At 52.0% G+C, this 17,931-nt stretch overlaps 1 protein-coding gene across 7 annotated transcripts in view, besides 2 other annotated features; it reads right to left on the reverse strand.

Moving 5' to 3' along the window:
- C4orf50 (chromosome 4 open reading frame 50) overlaps nucleotides 1-17,931 on the reverse strand; it is a 120,960-nt gene that overhangs the window by 94,652 nt on the left and 8,377 nt on the right. For 4 of the 7 annotated variants that reach the window (XM_047415663.1, XM_047415664.1, NM_001364689.3 and 1 more), the window contains exons 3-5: nucleotides 15,758-16,294; nucleotides 2,109-2,238; nucleotides 565-692 (exon numbers count right to left, since the gene is read on the reverse strand). In XM_047415663.1, the coding sequence (XP_047271619.1) occupies nucleotides 565-692; nucleotides 2,109-2,238; nucleotides 15,758-16,294 (795 nt within the window). The remainder of the gene's footprint in view (nucleotides 1-564; nucleotides 693-2,108; nucleotides 2,239-15,757; nucleotides 16,295-17,931) is intronic. The other 3 variants (XM_017008893.2, XM_047415667.1, NM_001364690.2) reach the window with 1 other exon arrangement.
- Nucleotides 1,649-2,201: an enhancer, noted in NCBI's record as "H3K4me1 hESC enhancer chr4:5995614-5996166 (GRCh37/hg19 assembly coordinates)". NCBI's record gives its function as "activates a minimal SCP1, AML or CMV promoter by ChIP-STARR-seq in primed H9 embryonic stem cells {active_cell/tissue: H9 hESC(primed)}" and the evidence as "EXISTENCE:reporter gene assay evidence [ECO:0000049][PMID:30033119]".
- Nucleotides 2,202-2,753: an enhancer, noted in NCBI's record as "H3K4me1 hESC enhancer chr4:5996167-5996718 (GRCh37/hg19 assembly coordinates)". NCBI's record gives its function as "activates a minimal SCP1, AML or CMV promoter by ChIP-STARR-seq in primed H9 embryonic stem cells {active_cell/tissue: H9 hESC(primed)}" and the evidence as "EXISTENCE:reporter gene assay evidence [ECO:0000049][PMID:30033119]".

A 17,931-nucleotide genomic window follows, 5' to 3' on the forward strand; every position in this document is an offset into this window, starting at 1 on the left:
CTCTATTTACAACCACACAACCACAGCCGGGCTCGCGGGTCCCAGCACAGCTCTGTTCCTCAGGGATGAGAAAATGGAAGTGGAGAAAGGTTACGACTGCCTCAGCCTCAGAGCGAGCCATGGGAGGTGAGTTGGGACGCAGGCTCCTGACCCTCAGGGCCAGCATGGGGCAGTGTGGGCCGTCGAGCCTGGATCTCGGGGTCCACCTCCAAGCTGGGGACCTTGGGGAGTCACAGCAGCCCTTGGAGTCTCATCTCCTCTCCAGAGCAGAGGTGGCAGCAACACCTCGTGGGTGTCAGGAGGTGTCAACGAGATGAAGCCTGTTCCGTGGAAGCCCAGGCCTGGCACCCAGTTAACCCCCTTCCTCCCCACCCCCCATCCAGGTCTCAGGATGTTTCATTTCCTCTCCTCAAATCTCTCTCTCAACTACTTCCAGAATGTTCTCCCAGACCTGGAGCTTCTTTACCCCTCCCACATCCTGCGTGTGGCCACATAGCCTGCATGAGGCAGGGCTGAGGGGAACCAGTGGCACTGCACACACACGCAGAAAGCCTCTGGCCTCACCTGTTCACGGTTGGATCCGGCCAGGTCTCTGGGGAGCTCGCTTGTGGTCTCCGGGCCTGGAGCCAAAACAGAAGAGGCCCGTCCAGGCCTGATGCGGCTCCAGGTGCAGGGCCCCTCTGGGGACTGGCCTGGAAAGCAACAAGACCCTGGGGGTTACAAAGATGCTCCCAGGGGCTCTGCCATGATCGCCTCTAGGGACCACGTCCCCCAGGCTTGGGTAAGATGGCACCCCCCCCACCCCCGACTGTGAGCCTCCCAAGGGCAGCCTGATGACCACCAGCACCTTGGTCAGGGGAGGAAGCTGAGGCTCAGAGACGTGAAATAGCCAACAGCAGGTGGGCAGAGACCCCAGGGCTCCATGCCACCTCTGCGGCCCACAGACTCCTGCACGGGACAAAATCCACCAAACCTTTCTAAGCCTCAGCATCCTCATCTGTCAAACAGGGTATGAGCCTCACCCCAGCTCTGCACAGCTGGCATGAGGACACATCTGACCTGAGTCGACATGGCAGCTCTGCTCCCCAGAAATGAGATAAAGGGAAAACGCTGGTTGCATCAGTCAGCAGCACCACTGTGCTACACATATGGAGGATAATACCATCCCTAACAGCCCTTGAGGTTGGAGGGCTGGAAATAAACCACAGATGCCCAGTTGGCCGCCGTGGCTGTCAGGCTCCCTGAGTGCAGGGGCTCTGGAAGCCACGGCTGAGGCTGTTATGAGATATGGGCTCAAGCCGGGTGTGGTGGCTCATGCCTGTAATCCCAGCACTCTGGGAGTCTGAGGTGGGCGGATCACATAAGGCCAGGAGTTCACGACCAGCCTGGCCAACATGGCAAAACCCCATCTTTACTAAAAATACAAAAGTTAGCCGGGCATGGTGGTGGGAGCCTGTAATCCCAGCTACTTGGGAGGCTGAGACAGGAGAATAGCTTGAACCCGGGAGCTTGAGGTTGCAGTGAGCCGAGATCACACAACTGTACTCCAGCCTAGGTGACAGAGTGAGACTCCATCTCAAAAAAATAAAATAAAAAAATAAAAATAAATAAAAATAAATAAAAAAAAAAAAGAGAGAGAGAGATATTGGTTCACATCAGGGACAAGAGGCTTCTAAGCCCCAGCAGCTTCCAGACCTGCCAAGTGCGATTTTCACTGCCTCACACTGGAGGTGTCACCTGGGAAGTGGGGGGACAGGACGGCTCCTGGCCATCATACGGACTTCTGTGAAAGCATGTCCCTGCTGCCAACCTGCTGGCCTATGAGGCCCCCTGGCTGGCACCCTCCCGAGGGCCAAGGGTGTGAGCCTGTGTTCAGCTGAGCCCGAGCCAAAGGCCCCTGGTGGGAGTTGCATACTCTGATCCCACCTGCAGCAGCTGTGTGACCCTGATAGAGGGACCCTACCTCTCTGAGCCTCGATTCTTGTCTGTAGGGAGGGGGGACCACCCCCTCTCCCTGCGTCATCGGGACATGATAAGGAGGAAGTGAGCTAGCCATTCAGTGGGTGCTGCCCGCGACTCGTCCTCCACGCACCGCGGTACCCGCGCACCTGCTGGGGCCCTTTGTCTGGGTGCATCATTGGACCGCAGGGAGTTCCGCCAGTCTTGGCTTCTGCAGGGGTCCAGGGCCTCCTCCCTGGGCAGGGGCAGTGAGTCACCCTGAACACAGCCCAGAGCATCCTGGAGGAAGACAGAGGAAGTCAGGAGCCGTCAGTGTCCTGGCTGAAGTGTGTACTCCAAGCCCATCCCCAGGGGCCCCTCCCCAGAAGGGAGCTTGAGTCTCTTCCACAGGTGAGGAAACTGAGGCTCAGAGGGCAGAGAGCTCACAGCCTGGCAGCCCAGCCCCGGCCTTGTGCTTTTGGTTCACCAGGCCAAACTGCCCTCTCTTAGCACTTAGACTCCTGTCCACAGACAACGAGGGCAGCGTTCAGTCCTCAGAGGAGTATGTCTGTCCAGCCAAGAAGCACCCAGATCCCCTAAAGCAGGGTCATGGACCAGACTGGTACAGTCCGTGGCCTGTTAGGACCTGGGCCGTACAGCAGGAGGTGAGCAGCAGGCGAGCAGGCATTACCGCCTGAGCTCCGCCTCCTGTCAGGTCAGCAACGGCATTTGATTCTCATAGAAGCGTGAACCCTATTGTGAACTGCGTAAGCGAGAGATCTAGGTTGGGTGCTCCTTATGAAAATCTAACTAATGCCTGATGATCTGAGATGGAACAGTTTCACCATGAAACTATCCCCCTCACCCCCTGCCCATGGAAAAAATGTCTTCCATGAAACCAGTCCCTGGTGCCAAAAAAGTGGACTGCTGCCCTAAAGGGCACCAAAGGCTCCCAGCTCCACCCTTCCTGTGCAGAGGTCCAGGGCCTCCTCCCTGGGTGGGGGCAGTGAGTCACCCCGAACACAGCCCAGGGCACCCTGGAAGAAGGTACCCTTCCTGTGCAGAGGTTCTTTCCATGTCCCACCCAGGGAGGAGGGTGTCTGCCCAGGGGGTTTGGACCGTCCTGTCCTTCAACTGTCAATAAGCTCCAAATGCGACTGCCCGGTACCTTGGCAGCGCCCTGTCCCCTGGACTTCTCCACAGTGTGGAGCTTCCCCAGCTGCCGCCCTGCTGCAGGTCAGGATAATTCAGAGGCAGCTCCTTCCTCCCTGCCACAGGGGAGAGGCTTGGGACTGGAAACACACACACACACACACACACACACACACACACACACACACACTCAGCTGTCACCCACCACTCACGAGGGGCTGGGCACAGGTCTCCTCTGGGTTCCCACAGCCCTGGCTGCTTCCACTGCAGTGCTCCAGCCCGGTGCTGTTGGCTGCCTCACATACCTACTACTCCACTGGACTGTGAGCTCCTTTAGGAAGAGAACTTGGCTTCATTCTGTCTGCACCCTCATCCTAGCCTGTATACGGTAGGTGCTTAATAAATGTTTCATCATTGGGTGGACAGATAGAACCTGGGAAAAGTAGATGTTTTAGATTGACGAGTGCATTCATTCAGAAAACATTTATTAGGCTCCTGCTGTGTGCCAGGTGTGGCTCTAGGCCAGGAGAAAACAGAAGTGAACAGGGAAGTGCCCTGTCCCCTTCTCACTTGCTCCCCAGGTCCTCACCTTCTCTCAGCAGACCCAGCATCGGACTCCTGGCTGGTCCTCCTACCTCCTTCAGGTTCTTCTTGCAGCTACCAGGGAGACCCGCTGATCACCCAGGCTTCCCTTGGCTTCCCTCTGGCTACAGGGTCAGCACGAATGCTGAAATTAGGTGCTGGTGCCCATCTATGGGCTGTCATTGCTGCCTGGGCACCTTGTTCCCACCTCTGCAGCTTTGCGCCAGCTTCCCCTCACAGCAACCTGCTTGCCTGTCCCAGCGCGTCCGTGCTCTCCCCGGCCTCTGCACCTTCCCATATGCTGTTCCTGACACCTGGCTGTCACATCCTTCTTGGGAGGGGCCTGGATCGCTTGCCTGCTGCAGGCAAAGCCTTCTCTGCTTGTTGCTCCAGGCCCCTCCCTTCCACGCACTGCTCAGCCCCCAGCGATGGCACTAAAATGGAAACTGGATCTGGTTGCTCCCTGCTTCTCACCCTTCGACGCTTCCTGTTACACTGAAAGAGAAACCCCCGCCGGCCTCACTGCCCCCACCTCCACCCCGCTACCACCACCCACGTCTGTGCTCCTGGAAGGAACTCTTCTCCCCGCACCTCAGAGCCTTTGCACACTGTCTGGACCTCTCTTCCCACCCTCTGCCTGGTCAACCTCCTCCCCTTCTGGGACCTGCTTAAAGGCCGATCTTTAATGAGGCCTTCTTTGGCCTTCATCTCCTCCCACTCTGGGTTGGTGGCCTCCTGTTGATCTGTATGATGGTTTGGGTCTTGTCCATTTCTTCTCAAAGGCCAGGGGCCTCAGCATGGGCCACATCATGGAGTCACCCAGAAGCTTTAAACAAGAACCAGTGCAGGAGCCTCAACCCAAACCTATTAACCCTGAGGGCCTGGGCAGCGACATCCTGTCCTGACAGCCACCTGCCTGCACCCAGAGGGCCTTGCTGGCTGCTGCAGCTGTCCCACGTTCTCACGGTCCCATTCAGCTGCCTCTTGTCTTTATCCATTTGGTTCCCACTCAACCAGAATTGCACACTTTGTCAGCTGCTTAAAATCATCATTGGAGTGTGAGAGGGAAAAGAGAAAATGAGAGAGAAAGAAGGCATCAAAGAAACGAAGTGAAAGAAGGTGAATGACAAAGGAAAAGGAGAGGGAATAGGATAGGGAAAGGAAGAGACAGAAATTCAAAGTGAAAGCAGGAAGAGAGAGAAGTCGAAGGAAGAGGAAGGACTAGATAAATAGAAAAAGGGAGAGGCTGGGTAGGCAGCGTGGAGACCACTCCGTAGCGCAGAAGGTAGAAATGGTTACTGGTGGTATATTTTTTGGATTGTTATCATACCCAGGCTGACTTCAATGCAATTCAAAAAATGCTCGCTGAGCATCTACTATGTGGCAGGCCCTGTTCTGGAGCTGGTGACACGGCCACGTATAAACATACCTAGATCCCTGCCTCGAGGAAGTGACATCCAGCGGACACAACCTAGAAGACAACGCTGTACTGAAACATTGCCCATTGTCTAGTTTACCCCTTCATGTCACAACCGATGAAGGCAGTACTCAGAGAGGGTGAGTCACTTGTCCAAGGTCACACAGTAAGTCGACAGGAGCACAGGAGCAGAGCTCAGGTTTCTAAACCTGATCTGGAACTTTCTGCCTCCCTGCCTGCTCTATCAGTCCATCCTACATTTCAACCCTCAAGAAAACATTTGCCTGTAACTTAATCTGGACTCAGCTTTCATGTGCAATTATAAGCAAAAAGAAGAAAATGAGAAATATCAGGATATCCGGGCATAAACATGAATGTGTTAGAGGCCCTTCTGGGCTTTTTTCTATGCCTAGACATTTTCCTATGCATAGACATTGCGAAAGTTCTATTTATACAAAATGTAAATTTTTACTTTGTGAATTTTGCATTTAATGATATAGAAGGATCATTTCTCTACAGGATCTTCTGCAGTGTGGTTTTTATAGCTAACTAATATTCTCTGCTATAAGGGAGAGGAAAAAAGGGAGATAGTTCCAGATCAAATCAATTCCCTCTTATTGGACAGTTGGGTTGTTACGAATTTTTACCAACTATAAGCAGAGCTGAGATAAACATGACTGTACATGACTCTTCTGCACCTCCAATCACTTTTTGGATATATTTGTGGAAGTCAAATGGCTGAGACTCAGGCATAAACCTTTTTTAAAGGCATTTAATACTTACTGCTTGACAGCCCTTCCAAAGGGATATGTTCATTTATACTCCTGATAGCTCAAACACCACACGGCTGCAGGCCCTTTTAACCTTTGACAGATGTACAGAAGAAAACGGGATCCTGAGATTTTTCTCACTGGCGTTATTTTTTAACTAATGGAGCTGTCCATATTTTTTTATTAAGACCACTGGCCATTTTGTACTTCCTTTTACATTATTTGCATGTTCATCCCTTTTGCCTATTTTATTTTTCGACATTATTGACACTGCTTTTTTTTTAAAAGCTCTTGCTTGCTGCTGGAGAGAGAAACAAATGTGTAATACCCTGCTCTGCACAAAAGCAAGCAGTGAGCAAGGCTGCCTGCAATTCACCCAGCAACAAAGAGATTCACGTAGCTGCCACCAGGGGTCACTCTACGCACACTGCCAGGGCATAGAGGCTGGCGGGATCATCCAGTCACTCCTGAAGCCCCTGACGTGGGATCGTGATCTCAGCTCTGGGATGACAGTGGACAAGGACTTTTTAAGAGCCTGGCTTTTCATCTCTCTGCACGAGCATCTCTGGGACCCTCCAGGCCAGGCACAGCCCTGTGCTGCCCTCTGCCGTAGCATCACTGTAGTGTCATGGTTTGCACCTGTGTCTGTCTCCTCTATAAGCTTTTGGAGGGCAAGGTTCATGCCTGGCTCACTGCACCTGGGACATGGCAGGTGCCCAGTGCACACTCATGGGAAAGCATTCAGACCCATCTGCAGATAAACCACGTTTGTCTTGCCAAATATGAATGGTTCTTACTTCCTTTTACCCTGAGCAGAAACCCTGTCCCCAAACTCCTCCCCACATCAGGGTTTGTCCTTGCAGTGGTCCGTTCCTCTGGGGATCAAGGTTCCAAGTAACTTGCTCTAAAACATGTGACCTCGGGAGGAAGCATATGACCCCAGGCAAGTTACGGGAATCCTCCAGACTACAGGTTTGTGGATAGGGCACTGCCCCGGCTACCTTGCAGAGTTCATGAGTTCCTGTTTAGGAAAGTGCTTTGTGAATATGAAGCAAAGGAAACACACTTTTATAATGACTGCCTTTGCCATAGTTCACACCATGGCTCCCAGAGCACATCAGACATAGCCAAGGGGTCACTGCAGGTGGGGCCAAGCCTGTGCCTCCTTTCAGATACTGCTGCTTCCACTTCCTTGGGCAAGTGACTTTACCTCCCTTCCTCAGTGTTCTCCTCTGCAAAATGAGAATCCATAACTCTACCACCTCATAAGCTTGTTGTGGGGAACGCAACACATTACCACGCTGGGCAGGCAATAAGCACTCCAAAAGTTGATGAAAGTCGGCTTTCGTGATGATTTTCTATCTGTGGTACACATCTCTGGGACTAGACCCTCCCCACCATTTCCCCATTTCTATGCCTCACTTCCCAGCATTGCCACTGTGAAGCAGTCCCTTCAGCCAGAAGCTTCCTTTTCCCGTGGGCAGTGGAGCAAATAACTTCACCGATGCCTCAAGGCACTCACTCATCAAGCATTTCACAGCTGGTGGCCAGGGACTGGGAATAGAGCTAAAGTGAACCAGTTTTTGATGATGAGGGGCACACAGCTGAGGGAGTGGGCATCTGGGCACAGTGAACATCAGGGCCACCAGAGGTGGCTCATGTCACCTCGGGGGCACTGAGCTGACGTGAGATCAGGGAAGTCTTCCAGAGAAAGCAACATTCCCAACAAATAAAGAGAAAGTAGCAAGGCTTTCCAACAGCCTGAGTGGGGGTGGGCACTAGAAGCTTCCAGACACAGGCAAGGCTTACAAGGCAGAAGAGCCTGGCACACTCAGGGACCTGCAGCTCAGTGTGACTAAGGTGGCATATGGGGGACTGAGCTTGAAGGAGCAGAACACCGGGGGCCTTGAATGCCGTGGATAGGAGGTTGAACTTGATCCTGAGGCCGTGGGCAGCCATGGTGGGGTGCTTATGGAGGGAGATCCTTTGACAGTCACCACTGTTGTCCAGAGCAAGGTGCTGAAGACCTGCGTGTGGCTCTCGGTCCTCCTGGGTCACTCCCAGTCCTTTGAAGATGCACTGGCAGCCTTGGGCAGTCACACAGCATGCGATGCTCTCTGGACTCTGCGACTTCACAGATGTGCAGAGGCCTGGAAGCCACAGCCATGGCCACTGAGGCTCATGCAATTTCCACCAAGACATGAAGAGCCGCATCTGGCTTTGCAGTTCCTTATCGATGGGTTCTAACACTTTAATTTATAAATTCCAGGCTGCATTCAACCTGAGAGCTGGTGGCTGGCTAGCTCTTCACATTTCCCAGTGGCCCTCTCAGGAGGAATTCTTCCTTTCCAGGCAGCCCTTTTTGACCTCAAGATGCTGTTTGTGGGCCATCAGCTTCCTTCTGAGAGATGGACAGAGACTGGCAGCCTTGTCACATGCTGCAGCCTGGGTCCAGCCCCCACTGCAACACCAGGGTCCTCCCCCAGTGACCCACGGACTCCACAGGGCTCATTTCCTTGCCTTTCCTCTGCCCCTACCTCCTTCACCCAATCTGTTTTGTCATCCTGTGGGGCAGGGTCTTGTCTCACTCCCCAGCCCCTGTACTGAGCTCAGACTGGAGCCAAGCACACGCACCAAGTGGGTACCATCAAATCCTGACTGTTGACCTGTTGACCAGTATTTACTGAAGAAACAGGGCGTGCGACACAGCTATGGGATCAGCTCACCAAAGGGCAAATCCTGGTCCCACCATATTACCGTCTGAATTTTCATGTCCCCCCAAAACTCATCCGTTAAAACCCATATCCCCAAAGGGATGTTATTAGGAAGCGGTGCTGAGTCCCCTCCAAGGGCAACCCATCGGTAAGTGGCAGGAGAGCCCACCTCCACCGGAAGTTAGAGCAAGTGATACCAGAAACACAAAAGCCATGATAAAATGGATACACACACACAGCCAAAGCAAGCCTCTTGCTAGTCGAAATTCTCCTAACCTGGTTTTTCAAGGGCCATGGTTTTAGACTGCTGGAAGGCAGAATCAGTGATTACCCAATGACATTTTTTTCTTTTATTTTTTGAGACAGAGTCTCGTTCTGCCAGGCTGGAGTGCAATGGCGCGATCTCAGCTCACTGCAACCTCTGCCCCCAAGAGTTCAAGCGATTCTCCTGCCTCAGCCTCCCGAGTAGCTGGGATTACAGGCGCATGCCACCATGCCCAGATAATTTTTGTATTTTTAGTAGAGACAGGGTTTCACCATGTTGGACAGGCTGGTCACTTTAGGTCAGGAGTTCGTGTTCCATGATATTTTATGCTGAGAATGTTATCCAGCGTTTGTTCAGCGGGTTCCTGCAATCACGGTCTCTTGGGTTCTTCCCTCTGACACCACCAGGGAGACAATTACCGCTATTTCTCATCCAGTAGAAATCCACAGGGGAGATGGCATGTCCCAAGAAACTAGTGTCCTAAACGAGCCAAGAAGCCAGATCATCTGCTTGCCGCCTCACAGGGCTGAAAAGGGGCCTCAACCCACACAGGCTCTGATAACAGAGAGTCAGTGCTATCTTCCCTCCTTCCTCCTTTTACTTAATAAATATTCACCCAGCACCTCTTCTGTGCCAAGGACTGTGCTAGTGCTGGGAATGCAGCAGAAAATAAAGAGGACAGTGCCTGTCTTGCAAGATGCATGTTTTGGCTGAAGTAAATGAATGAATAAATAAATGTATAGCATGTCAGTGTGCCTGCGGCACTCAGCAAACACCGGGAAGGCAGAGCACACCCAGCCCCAGCCCTGCCCTTGGGAGGCTCAGCCCAGCACTGACAGCCATGCATGTGAGGGCCCTGGGAGGACAAAAGAGGCTCCTGGGGTCAGGGAATACCTGGAGGAGGAGAAGAGACCATAAGCCGTCATCTGCCACATAACTTTGTGGAGTGGGTTGAATTGTGCCTTCCCAAAAGAAATAGTACCTGAGAGTGTGGCCTTAGTTGAAAATAGTGTTTTTGCAGATGTGATCAAATTAAGGTGAGGCCATACTGGATTAGGCTGGGTCCTAATCCAATAAAGATCTGGTGTCCAGATAAGAAGAGAAGAGACACAGAAACAGACACACAGAGGAAAGAGGCCAAGAGAAAATGGAGGCAGAAATCAGAGTGATGCGTCTGCAAGTCAAAGATTGCCAGGAGCCACCAGAAGCTGGGTGTGGCAAGGAGCAGACTGTCCCCTAGAGCCTCAGGAGGAAGCATGGCCCCACTGCCACCTTGATTTCCGACTTCTGGCTCCCAGACCTAGGAGAGAATAAATGTCTGCCGTTTTAAGTCAGCAGGTTTGAGGTACTTTGTTACAGCAGCCCCAGGAAAATAACATGCTGTGCCTTGCCTGTTTCCTCAAGGCCCAACCTGCAGCCCCGGGAATACCCCAGGTGATCTGGCCCTTACCTGCAGCAGCTAGCTCCAAACCAGCTGGGAACACCTTGCCTGCTGCTGTCACTCTGTCCCTAGGCCTGTGGCTGGCTGGGGCCCCTCCTGCCCACTCAGACAATGCTCTCCTGCCCCAGAGCTTCCCCCCACCAGGTGGGCTCAGATCCCTGGCAGCCTGACTCAGGGTCGCTGCTGGTGCCATCCTCATGTCCTTGGAGGGCGGCTCTCAGCTGCATGAGCACCCACCGCTGCCTCTGGGAAACTCCCAGCCCAAGAGGCTGGGTGGATATGAAAGGAAAGGCAGGGAATGGGAATTACATCGGGGCCTCACTCCTTGGTTGTGTGACCCTGGACAGGACACTGCATCTCTGAGCCTTCTGCCTCCTCTATGAAGCAGACAGGAGGACACCTACCTGGCCATGTCGCTTGAGGATTAAGTGAGTAACAGATGGGCAGCTCCCAAGATGAAAGCCAGCCCCTTCCCCTCACCTCCTCTCACATCCCAGGTCTTCTGCCAGACAGGGGGCTTCACCCACCTGCTCTGCCCTGCAGCAGACCTAGGTAAAGGCTCTCAGCTCCTTGGCCCAGACAGCCGTCCCCAGATGGCCCTTTGCACAAGGCCACTGCAGTTCTCTGAGTCTCCCCAGCCCATCCACAGGCTGCTGGGACACAGGAGCTGGTAACCGCAGGCCCCATCCACCCTAGGGACATGTTGGCCTGAGCTCCCACCAGCCATTCAGGCAGCTCAATGGTGACAAATTACACTCACATCTAAACTGTTCCAGTCCAGGATAAGCCCTCAGGAAAAATAAATAAAAAGTCAAGAGAGAGAAAATTACAGTGTAGGTAGTGAGGGTGATTTACCCAACATCCTACTAGATGAGCACAAGCCCAGGAAGAGATGAGGAGGAGGGTGGCAATGGTGATGGTGATAGTGATGAGGGTGGTAATGGTGATGATGGTGATGGTGGTCATGGTGATGGTGATGTTGGTGATGATGGTGATGGTGATGATGATGTGGTGGTGATGGTGATGGTGACTGTGATGGTGATGGTGATTATGGTGATGATGTGATGGTGATGTTGATGGTGGTGATGGTGATGATGGTGATGGTGGTGATGACGGTGATGATGTGATAGTGATGATGGTGATGATGGTGATGGTGATGATAGTGATGATGGTGATGATAGTGATGGTGATGATGTGATGGTGATGATGGTGATGGTGATGATAGTGGTGATGGTGATGATGTGATAGTGATGATGGTGATGATGGTGATGGTGATGATGGTGATGGTGATGATGGTGATGATGGTGATGGTGATGATGTGATAGTGATGATGGTGATGATGGTGATGGTGATGATGGTGATGGTGATTATGGTGATGATGTGATGGTGATGTTGATGATGGTGGTGATGGTGATGATGGTGATGGTGATGATGGTGATGGTGATGATGTGATGGCGATGATAGTGATGATGGTGATGATGGTGATGGTGATGATGTGATGGTGATAATGTGATAGTGATGATGGTGATGGTGATGATGGTGATGATGGTGATGGTGATGATGTGATAGTGATGATGGTGATGATGGTGATGGTGATGATGGTGATAGTGATGATGGTGATGGTGATGATGGTGATGGTGATGATAGTGATGATGGTGATGATGGTGATGGTGATGATGGTGATGGTGATGATGGTGATGGTGATGATGTGATGGTGATGATGATGGTGATGATGGTGATGGTGATGGTGGTGATGGTGATGGTGATGTTGGTGATGATGGTGATGGTGGTGATGATGTGATCGTAATGGTGATGATGGTGATGGTGATGATGACGGTGATGGTGATGATGGTGATGGTGATGATGGTGATGGTGGTGATGGTGATGGAGATGTTGGTGATGATGGTGATGGTGGTGATGATGTGATGGTAATGGTGATGATGGTGATGGTGATGAGATGAGCACAAGCCCAGGAAGAGATGAGGAGGAGGGTGGCAATGGTGATGGTGATAGTGATGAGGGTGGTAATGGTGATGATGGTGATGGTGGTCATGGTGATGGTGATGTTGGTGATGATGGTGATGGTGATGATGTGGTGGTGATGGTGATGGTGACTGTGATGGTGATGGTGATTATGGTGATGATGTGATGGTGATGTTGATGGTGGTGGTGATGGTGATAATGGTGATGGTGGTGATGATGTGATGGTGATGATAGTGATGATGGTGATGATGGTGATGGTGATGACAGTGATGACGGCGATGGTGATGGTGGTGATGGTGATGGTGATGTTGGTGATGATGGTGATAGTGATGATGTGATGGTGATGGTGATGGTGGTGATGATGCTGACAGTGAAAGAAGCTAGATTTGACTGATCACTCAAAATATACCGGGCACTGAGCTAAGAGCTTTCCCTGTACTTTCTCATTTCATCCTCACAACCACACCAGGATGCACTAGTATCATCATCATCCCAGTATTAGTCCCATTTCACACTTGGGAACCTGAGGTACAGAGAATTTAGGAACCTGCCTGAAAGCATCTCCTCTGGTAGGAGGCAGAGCTGTGCTGGAATCCTCCATCATCTCCACTTGCATTCCTGCCTGCAACTCTGAGTATGAGCATCTTGCTCCACTCCAATGTTGAAGGCTCAGCATTCTACACTCCACAGGTTCCTGGGCTACAACCCTGCTTTCTCAGCTACTCTGCTGATGAGAGACCGAGGCAGAAGTGGCTGGGGACCACACTTGATGGGCAATTTAGGGAGCTTTCAAGAGAAGTGTGACTGTGCAGGCCAGCCTAGAGTGCAGCCTTGAGAACTGAGCCCCACATGAGGTGCAGTTCCCCTGGGCCACTGGGACTTTTATAAGAGGAAGCATGAAACCTTGAGAAGGTCACAGACACACATTGACAAGGAGCCAGGGAGCTTATGGCATAGAATCTACTAAATACAGCCACTGCTGCTGCCCTAGGCTCCTCAATAACAAACTCCGATCCCAGGATCTCGAGGTCTGGGCAGCAGGCAGAAGTCACGGCTCTGCTCTGGCCATGTCCTCTTGCTGGCCATGATACTTAACAGCTGGTGCCTGTGATGATGTCACTTAAACTCCCTGGGTCTCAGCTTCTCTATCTGTTCAGTGGGTAAACAGCACCTGTCTCACAAGGCTGTCCTAAGGATTACATGAGAAAACAGAATGGCCAAGACATGAGCAGTACTTCCTAAATACATAGGTACTCGTGCTATCTCCCAGATAACCATCTTCAAGAAATAGCAGGTAGCTATTTCTGAGAAGTGCGACTGTACACAGCAGCCTGCAGTGCAGCCTTGAAAGCCAAGCCCCATGAGAGGTGCAGTTCCCCGGGGCCACTGGGACTTTTACAAGAGGAAGATAGGATGAATGGAGAGATTGGGGGAAGAAGGACTTAAGCCAACAGCCTAAAGTCTTACGTTTAGGAAAATTACAGAGAGAATTTTAAATGACAATTTCCATCTGTGCACACTTGTTTTCCAAAATTACAACAAGTTGCCAATGTTATACACTTTGTTTTCCTTTTATCTGATGAACATAAGGAGGAAGAACAAACAGGAAATGTACAACAGCGAGAATAGGAGGATAAAGCAGTAAGAAGGTCAACTAAGACCACCGATGAAGCCGTTAATACATTACTACAATCCTGAGAAAATTCAGATCATTTAAGGTTCCAGGTAATTTTAAATGGATTGTCCAGGTTTAAAGATAAATTTTATTTCCAAAAAATGAGCACTCCTCTTTGGGCTAAGGTTGCTCACTCATTTTTCCTTAAATGCAAATTGAGCCACAGCGGGGAGGCAGGCTGTAGATGTTTTGTGGGAGCTGAGTTAGTGCTTCCATTGCAGAAGGCAGGCTGCTACAGTAGAAACAATAAACTTTGGACTCTCATCAAATTTTGATCACATTCCAGTTCAGTCCCTTAATAGCTGTGTGACAACAGTTAAAAGATGCTGTCCTCTGAGCCTCAGCTTCTTCAAATGCAAAAGGAAGATGCGAATATCACCTGCCTTCATAAGCATTACATGAAATAATGTCTTTGCAAACACCCAGTATGGAGCCGAGCACACAGTAGGAATACATAAAATGTAAGCTTTTACCCTCCCCTCAATCAAATGAATCAACACATGTCCAGCCTGCCCTCCAGAGTTTAAGAAGCTTGCCCAAGGTCACACAGCGAGTAAATATGCAAACCAGGAAGGGACCCTACCCTGTGTGCTCTCTACTCCACAGTGCTGGGGCCCTCCTGTGTGCTGCTATGGGGACTGAGGCTGCAAAGACCATCATGTCTGGACCCTGACCTCAAGGAGCTCACAGTCTAAAGAGGGAGAACTGAAGATGCAAGCACAGAATTGCCACCAGGGTACTGTTGTCACCTTTGGTGCTACAGGTAAAGTGGGAGAAGAGATGACTGCTTCCAGAGGAGAGGGACTGGACTTCACAAGCACATATGAGTCCCATGGCACAGCATGTTGAAGATTTTGTCTAGCGCAGGGCCTGGCTGTCAGCAGGAACTCATTGGATGTTGGACAGATGGATGGACAAGAGTGAGTGGACAATAAGGGATACAAGGTGGCTGGTTGGCTGCCTGACCAGTGGCCAGAGGGGTAGATAGATGAACACATGGTGTGGTGAATGAGAAGATAATGGAACGTGGCTAGACAAGTGGGTGGGTGAGTGCTGGGGTCTGAATGGCTGTGTTCCCCACCACCACCAAATTTATGTGGAAATCCTAATCCTCAATGTGAGGGTGTCAGGTGGTGGAGTCTTTGGGAGGTAATTAGGTCCTGAGGGTGGAGGCTTCATGAATGGTATTAGTACCCTTACTAATTAGTACCCCAGAAGGCTCCCTCTCCCTCCTGCCCTGTGAGGACCTAGTGAGAAGGCACCATCTGTGAACCAGGAAGCAGGCCCTCCCCCAACACCAAATCTGCTGGTGCCTTGATCTTGGACCTCCAGCCTCCAAAAGTGTGAAAAATAAGTTTCTGTTATTTATAAGCCACCATCTATGGTATTTTTTATAAAAGCCCAAACAGATTTCAACAATGGGAAAACAAGTGGTTTAGTAAGTGGGCTCATAAGTGGCTGCGTGGACAAACAGGTGTTAGGATGAATGGCAAAATGATGGTGGGTAGGTGGGCGAGTGGTTGGATAGGTAGATGGATGGATGATGGGCAAGTGTGTGCATCTGAGGATGGACAGGTGAGTGGACACGGTTGGTGGATGGGTAATGAGGTGGGCGTGCACTGAATGAGTATGTGAGGTTAGATGGGAGGGTGGGTGGGGAGGTGAGTAGATGCAGTGAAGGACGATGGACAGGGCTGGCAGGGTTAAACGGCTGTAGGAAGAGGAGCCCGGGGAATGGATGGGCCAATGACTTCACCAAGTGGCTGGAGGAGAAGGAGAAAGGCAAAAGATCATTCCTACCCTGAGTTCCCGCCACTTACCAGGCTGCAGTGACCAATAGGGGCCTGGGCTCCCAGCTCCTCTCGCAGGCACTGGTTTTGCTGGGCGAGGTCCTCCACCTGGCCCTGCAGGCCAATCTCTGACAGCTTCAGCCCATAGATGCAGCAGCGCAGCTCCTCCAGCTGCCCGCGGAGCTGGCGCTCGGTGGCCCGGTGCTCCTGCAGGCTGCGCGCCGCCTCTTCCCGCTCGCGCTCGCTGCGCTCTGCCCTCGCCTGCAGGGCGCGCAGTTCCGCAGCCGCCTCGGTGGCGCCCTGGGAGCCTGGGGCCGCGGTGTCCCACTGGGCCAGCAGGAGGCCCGCGGCGCGGCAGAGGCGCCGCACGTTGCGCTCCAGCCGCTGCACCTGCTCCCGCAGGACGCGCTCCTGCTCCCGCACCAGGCCCAGCTGGCGCCGCTGGGTCCGCCGGCAGCGCTCCAGGGCCGCCGCCTGCTGCCCCAGTGCCTCGTCCTTGCGCCGCAACCGCTCCTGCAACCGCCGCAGCCGCCACTGCTGCCGCCTGGCCACGCTCTCCTCCCGGATCTACAAGTTGGCGGTGGATGAGGGCGTCAGCAAGCCCAAAGGACACACCATGGTTCACATTGGTCCTGTCTTGACTTAACATTTCTGTATTTTGTGCATGGTGCGTTTTTGCATTTTGTGCATTGTAATAGTGCATCAAAGTATTATCTCTTTGACTGTTTTGGCATCCTCTTAAATTTTGCACGGAGGCAAGTGTCTCCCTCACTTCATCCACCCTAGTCTGGGCCCTGCACCTTCAACAGCTCCCTGAGTCCTGGAAGGGAGCTGTGCAGGTGGCAGGATGGCCATCAGCGAGTACACACCCTGAGGGCCGCTGGAGATGTCCGGATACTGAATACGTCCGCACCTGAGTGCACACAGCTGCTCCAGAGCCTCCCAGGTGTCCCCACTTCCACCACAGAACTGCCCAGAGATCCCCACTTCCTACCTACAGGGTCAATGCTTGGCCCACCCAGGGTCAGCTGGCCCCAGCAGGTGAGTCGCAATACCAGTGCCACAGCAGCTGTCATTACTGTGGATACTCCACCTGGAGGGAGGTACGTTACTAGCCTGAGAGACACTCAGGAGTGACTTGCATATCACGCAGCTAAAATTCACTGCGGCCAGGATGCCAAGCGCCTTGTATCTGACTCAGGCCTTTTCTTCTTTCATCTGCCCACCTGCCTGGCCTGGGAACACATCTGCCTCCTCCCACCCACGGGCCGTGAGCTGGACTGGGGTGCACAACCCACTGCGAAAATTAGAGCCGTTGCCTACTTTTCAGAATTAATTCAAGCAAAGGGATAGAACTACGTCTACGTTAATCTTTCAACTACTGTCACCTGCCGCTGCTCTTCTGCCGGGGAGCTTCCGGAAAACAAAAACAAACAAACTAAGAGCAAACGTGAAAGAGGAAACCTGGAAACAGCTCAGACAAGCTTTGTTTGATAGTTTTGGGGAACGTGGGGCAGATAAAAGTCAGGGTCAGATTCCCTGGGAGGACAATTCTCCTGGTCTTCCTGAAGGCGTGTATTCTGTAATGATCTTTGCATGGTGCCCGGTGGAGGGATTTCAGAGCCTAGATGGTCTGCCTTTGACAGCTTTCAGAATGACCGCAGGTCACTACAGAAACGAGGCATCTTCATATGCAAATGCTTACTGGAAACATTGGCAGCAACAAAGCAAAACTGCCATTTGGTACATACAGGTGCAAAGGGCATGGAAAACTCGCTCAAGCACTCCTGCAAAACTCGCTTCAAAATACAGATGTTTGCAGCGAGAGATTTAGGGTTAGAGGGTTGGGGGCTGGGTGGCAGCTGGGCCAAGGGGCAACTGAGAGACCCTAAGCAATTTCCCTATCACTTTGAACATCTGCCGCCTGTCTGGAAATGGGGTTTTGTGATGAGTCTTTCCCGGGAGCATACACAGCACATGAGACAGATTTAATAAGACGACGCGTGTAGAAAAGGGCTTAGTGTTCCCCTGCAGAAACTGCTGGTCCCTGCAGTACCTTTCACTCCCTAACAGCATGTCACTTGCTGTCACCCTCATCTTTTGCCCCTCATCACACTGTGAACATCATTACAGGGCTGGGTCCAATTCACCTCGGAAATCCTACATTCACATAGGGCATGGCTCGAAAAGTATTTGTGACAATA

This window comes from Homo sapiens, chromosome 4 (genome assembly GCF_000001405.40).
Source record: "Homo sapiens chromosome 4, GRCh38.p14 Primary Assembly".
In the NCBI taxonomy this organism is placed as follows: Eukaryota; Metazoa; Chordata; class Mammalia; order Primates; family Hominidae; genus Homo; species Homo sapiens.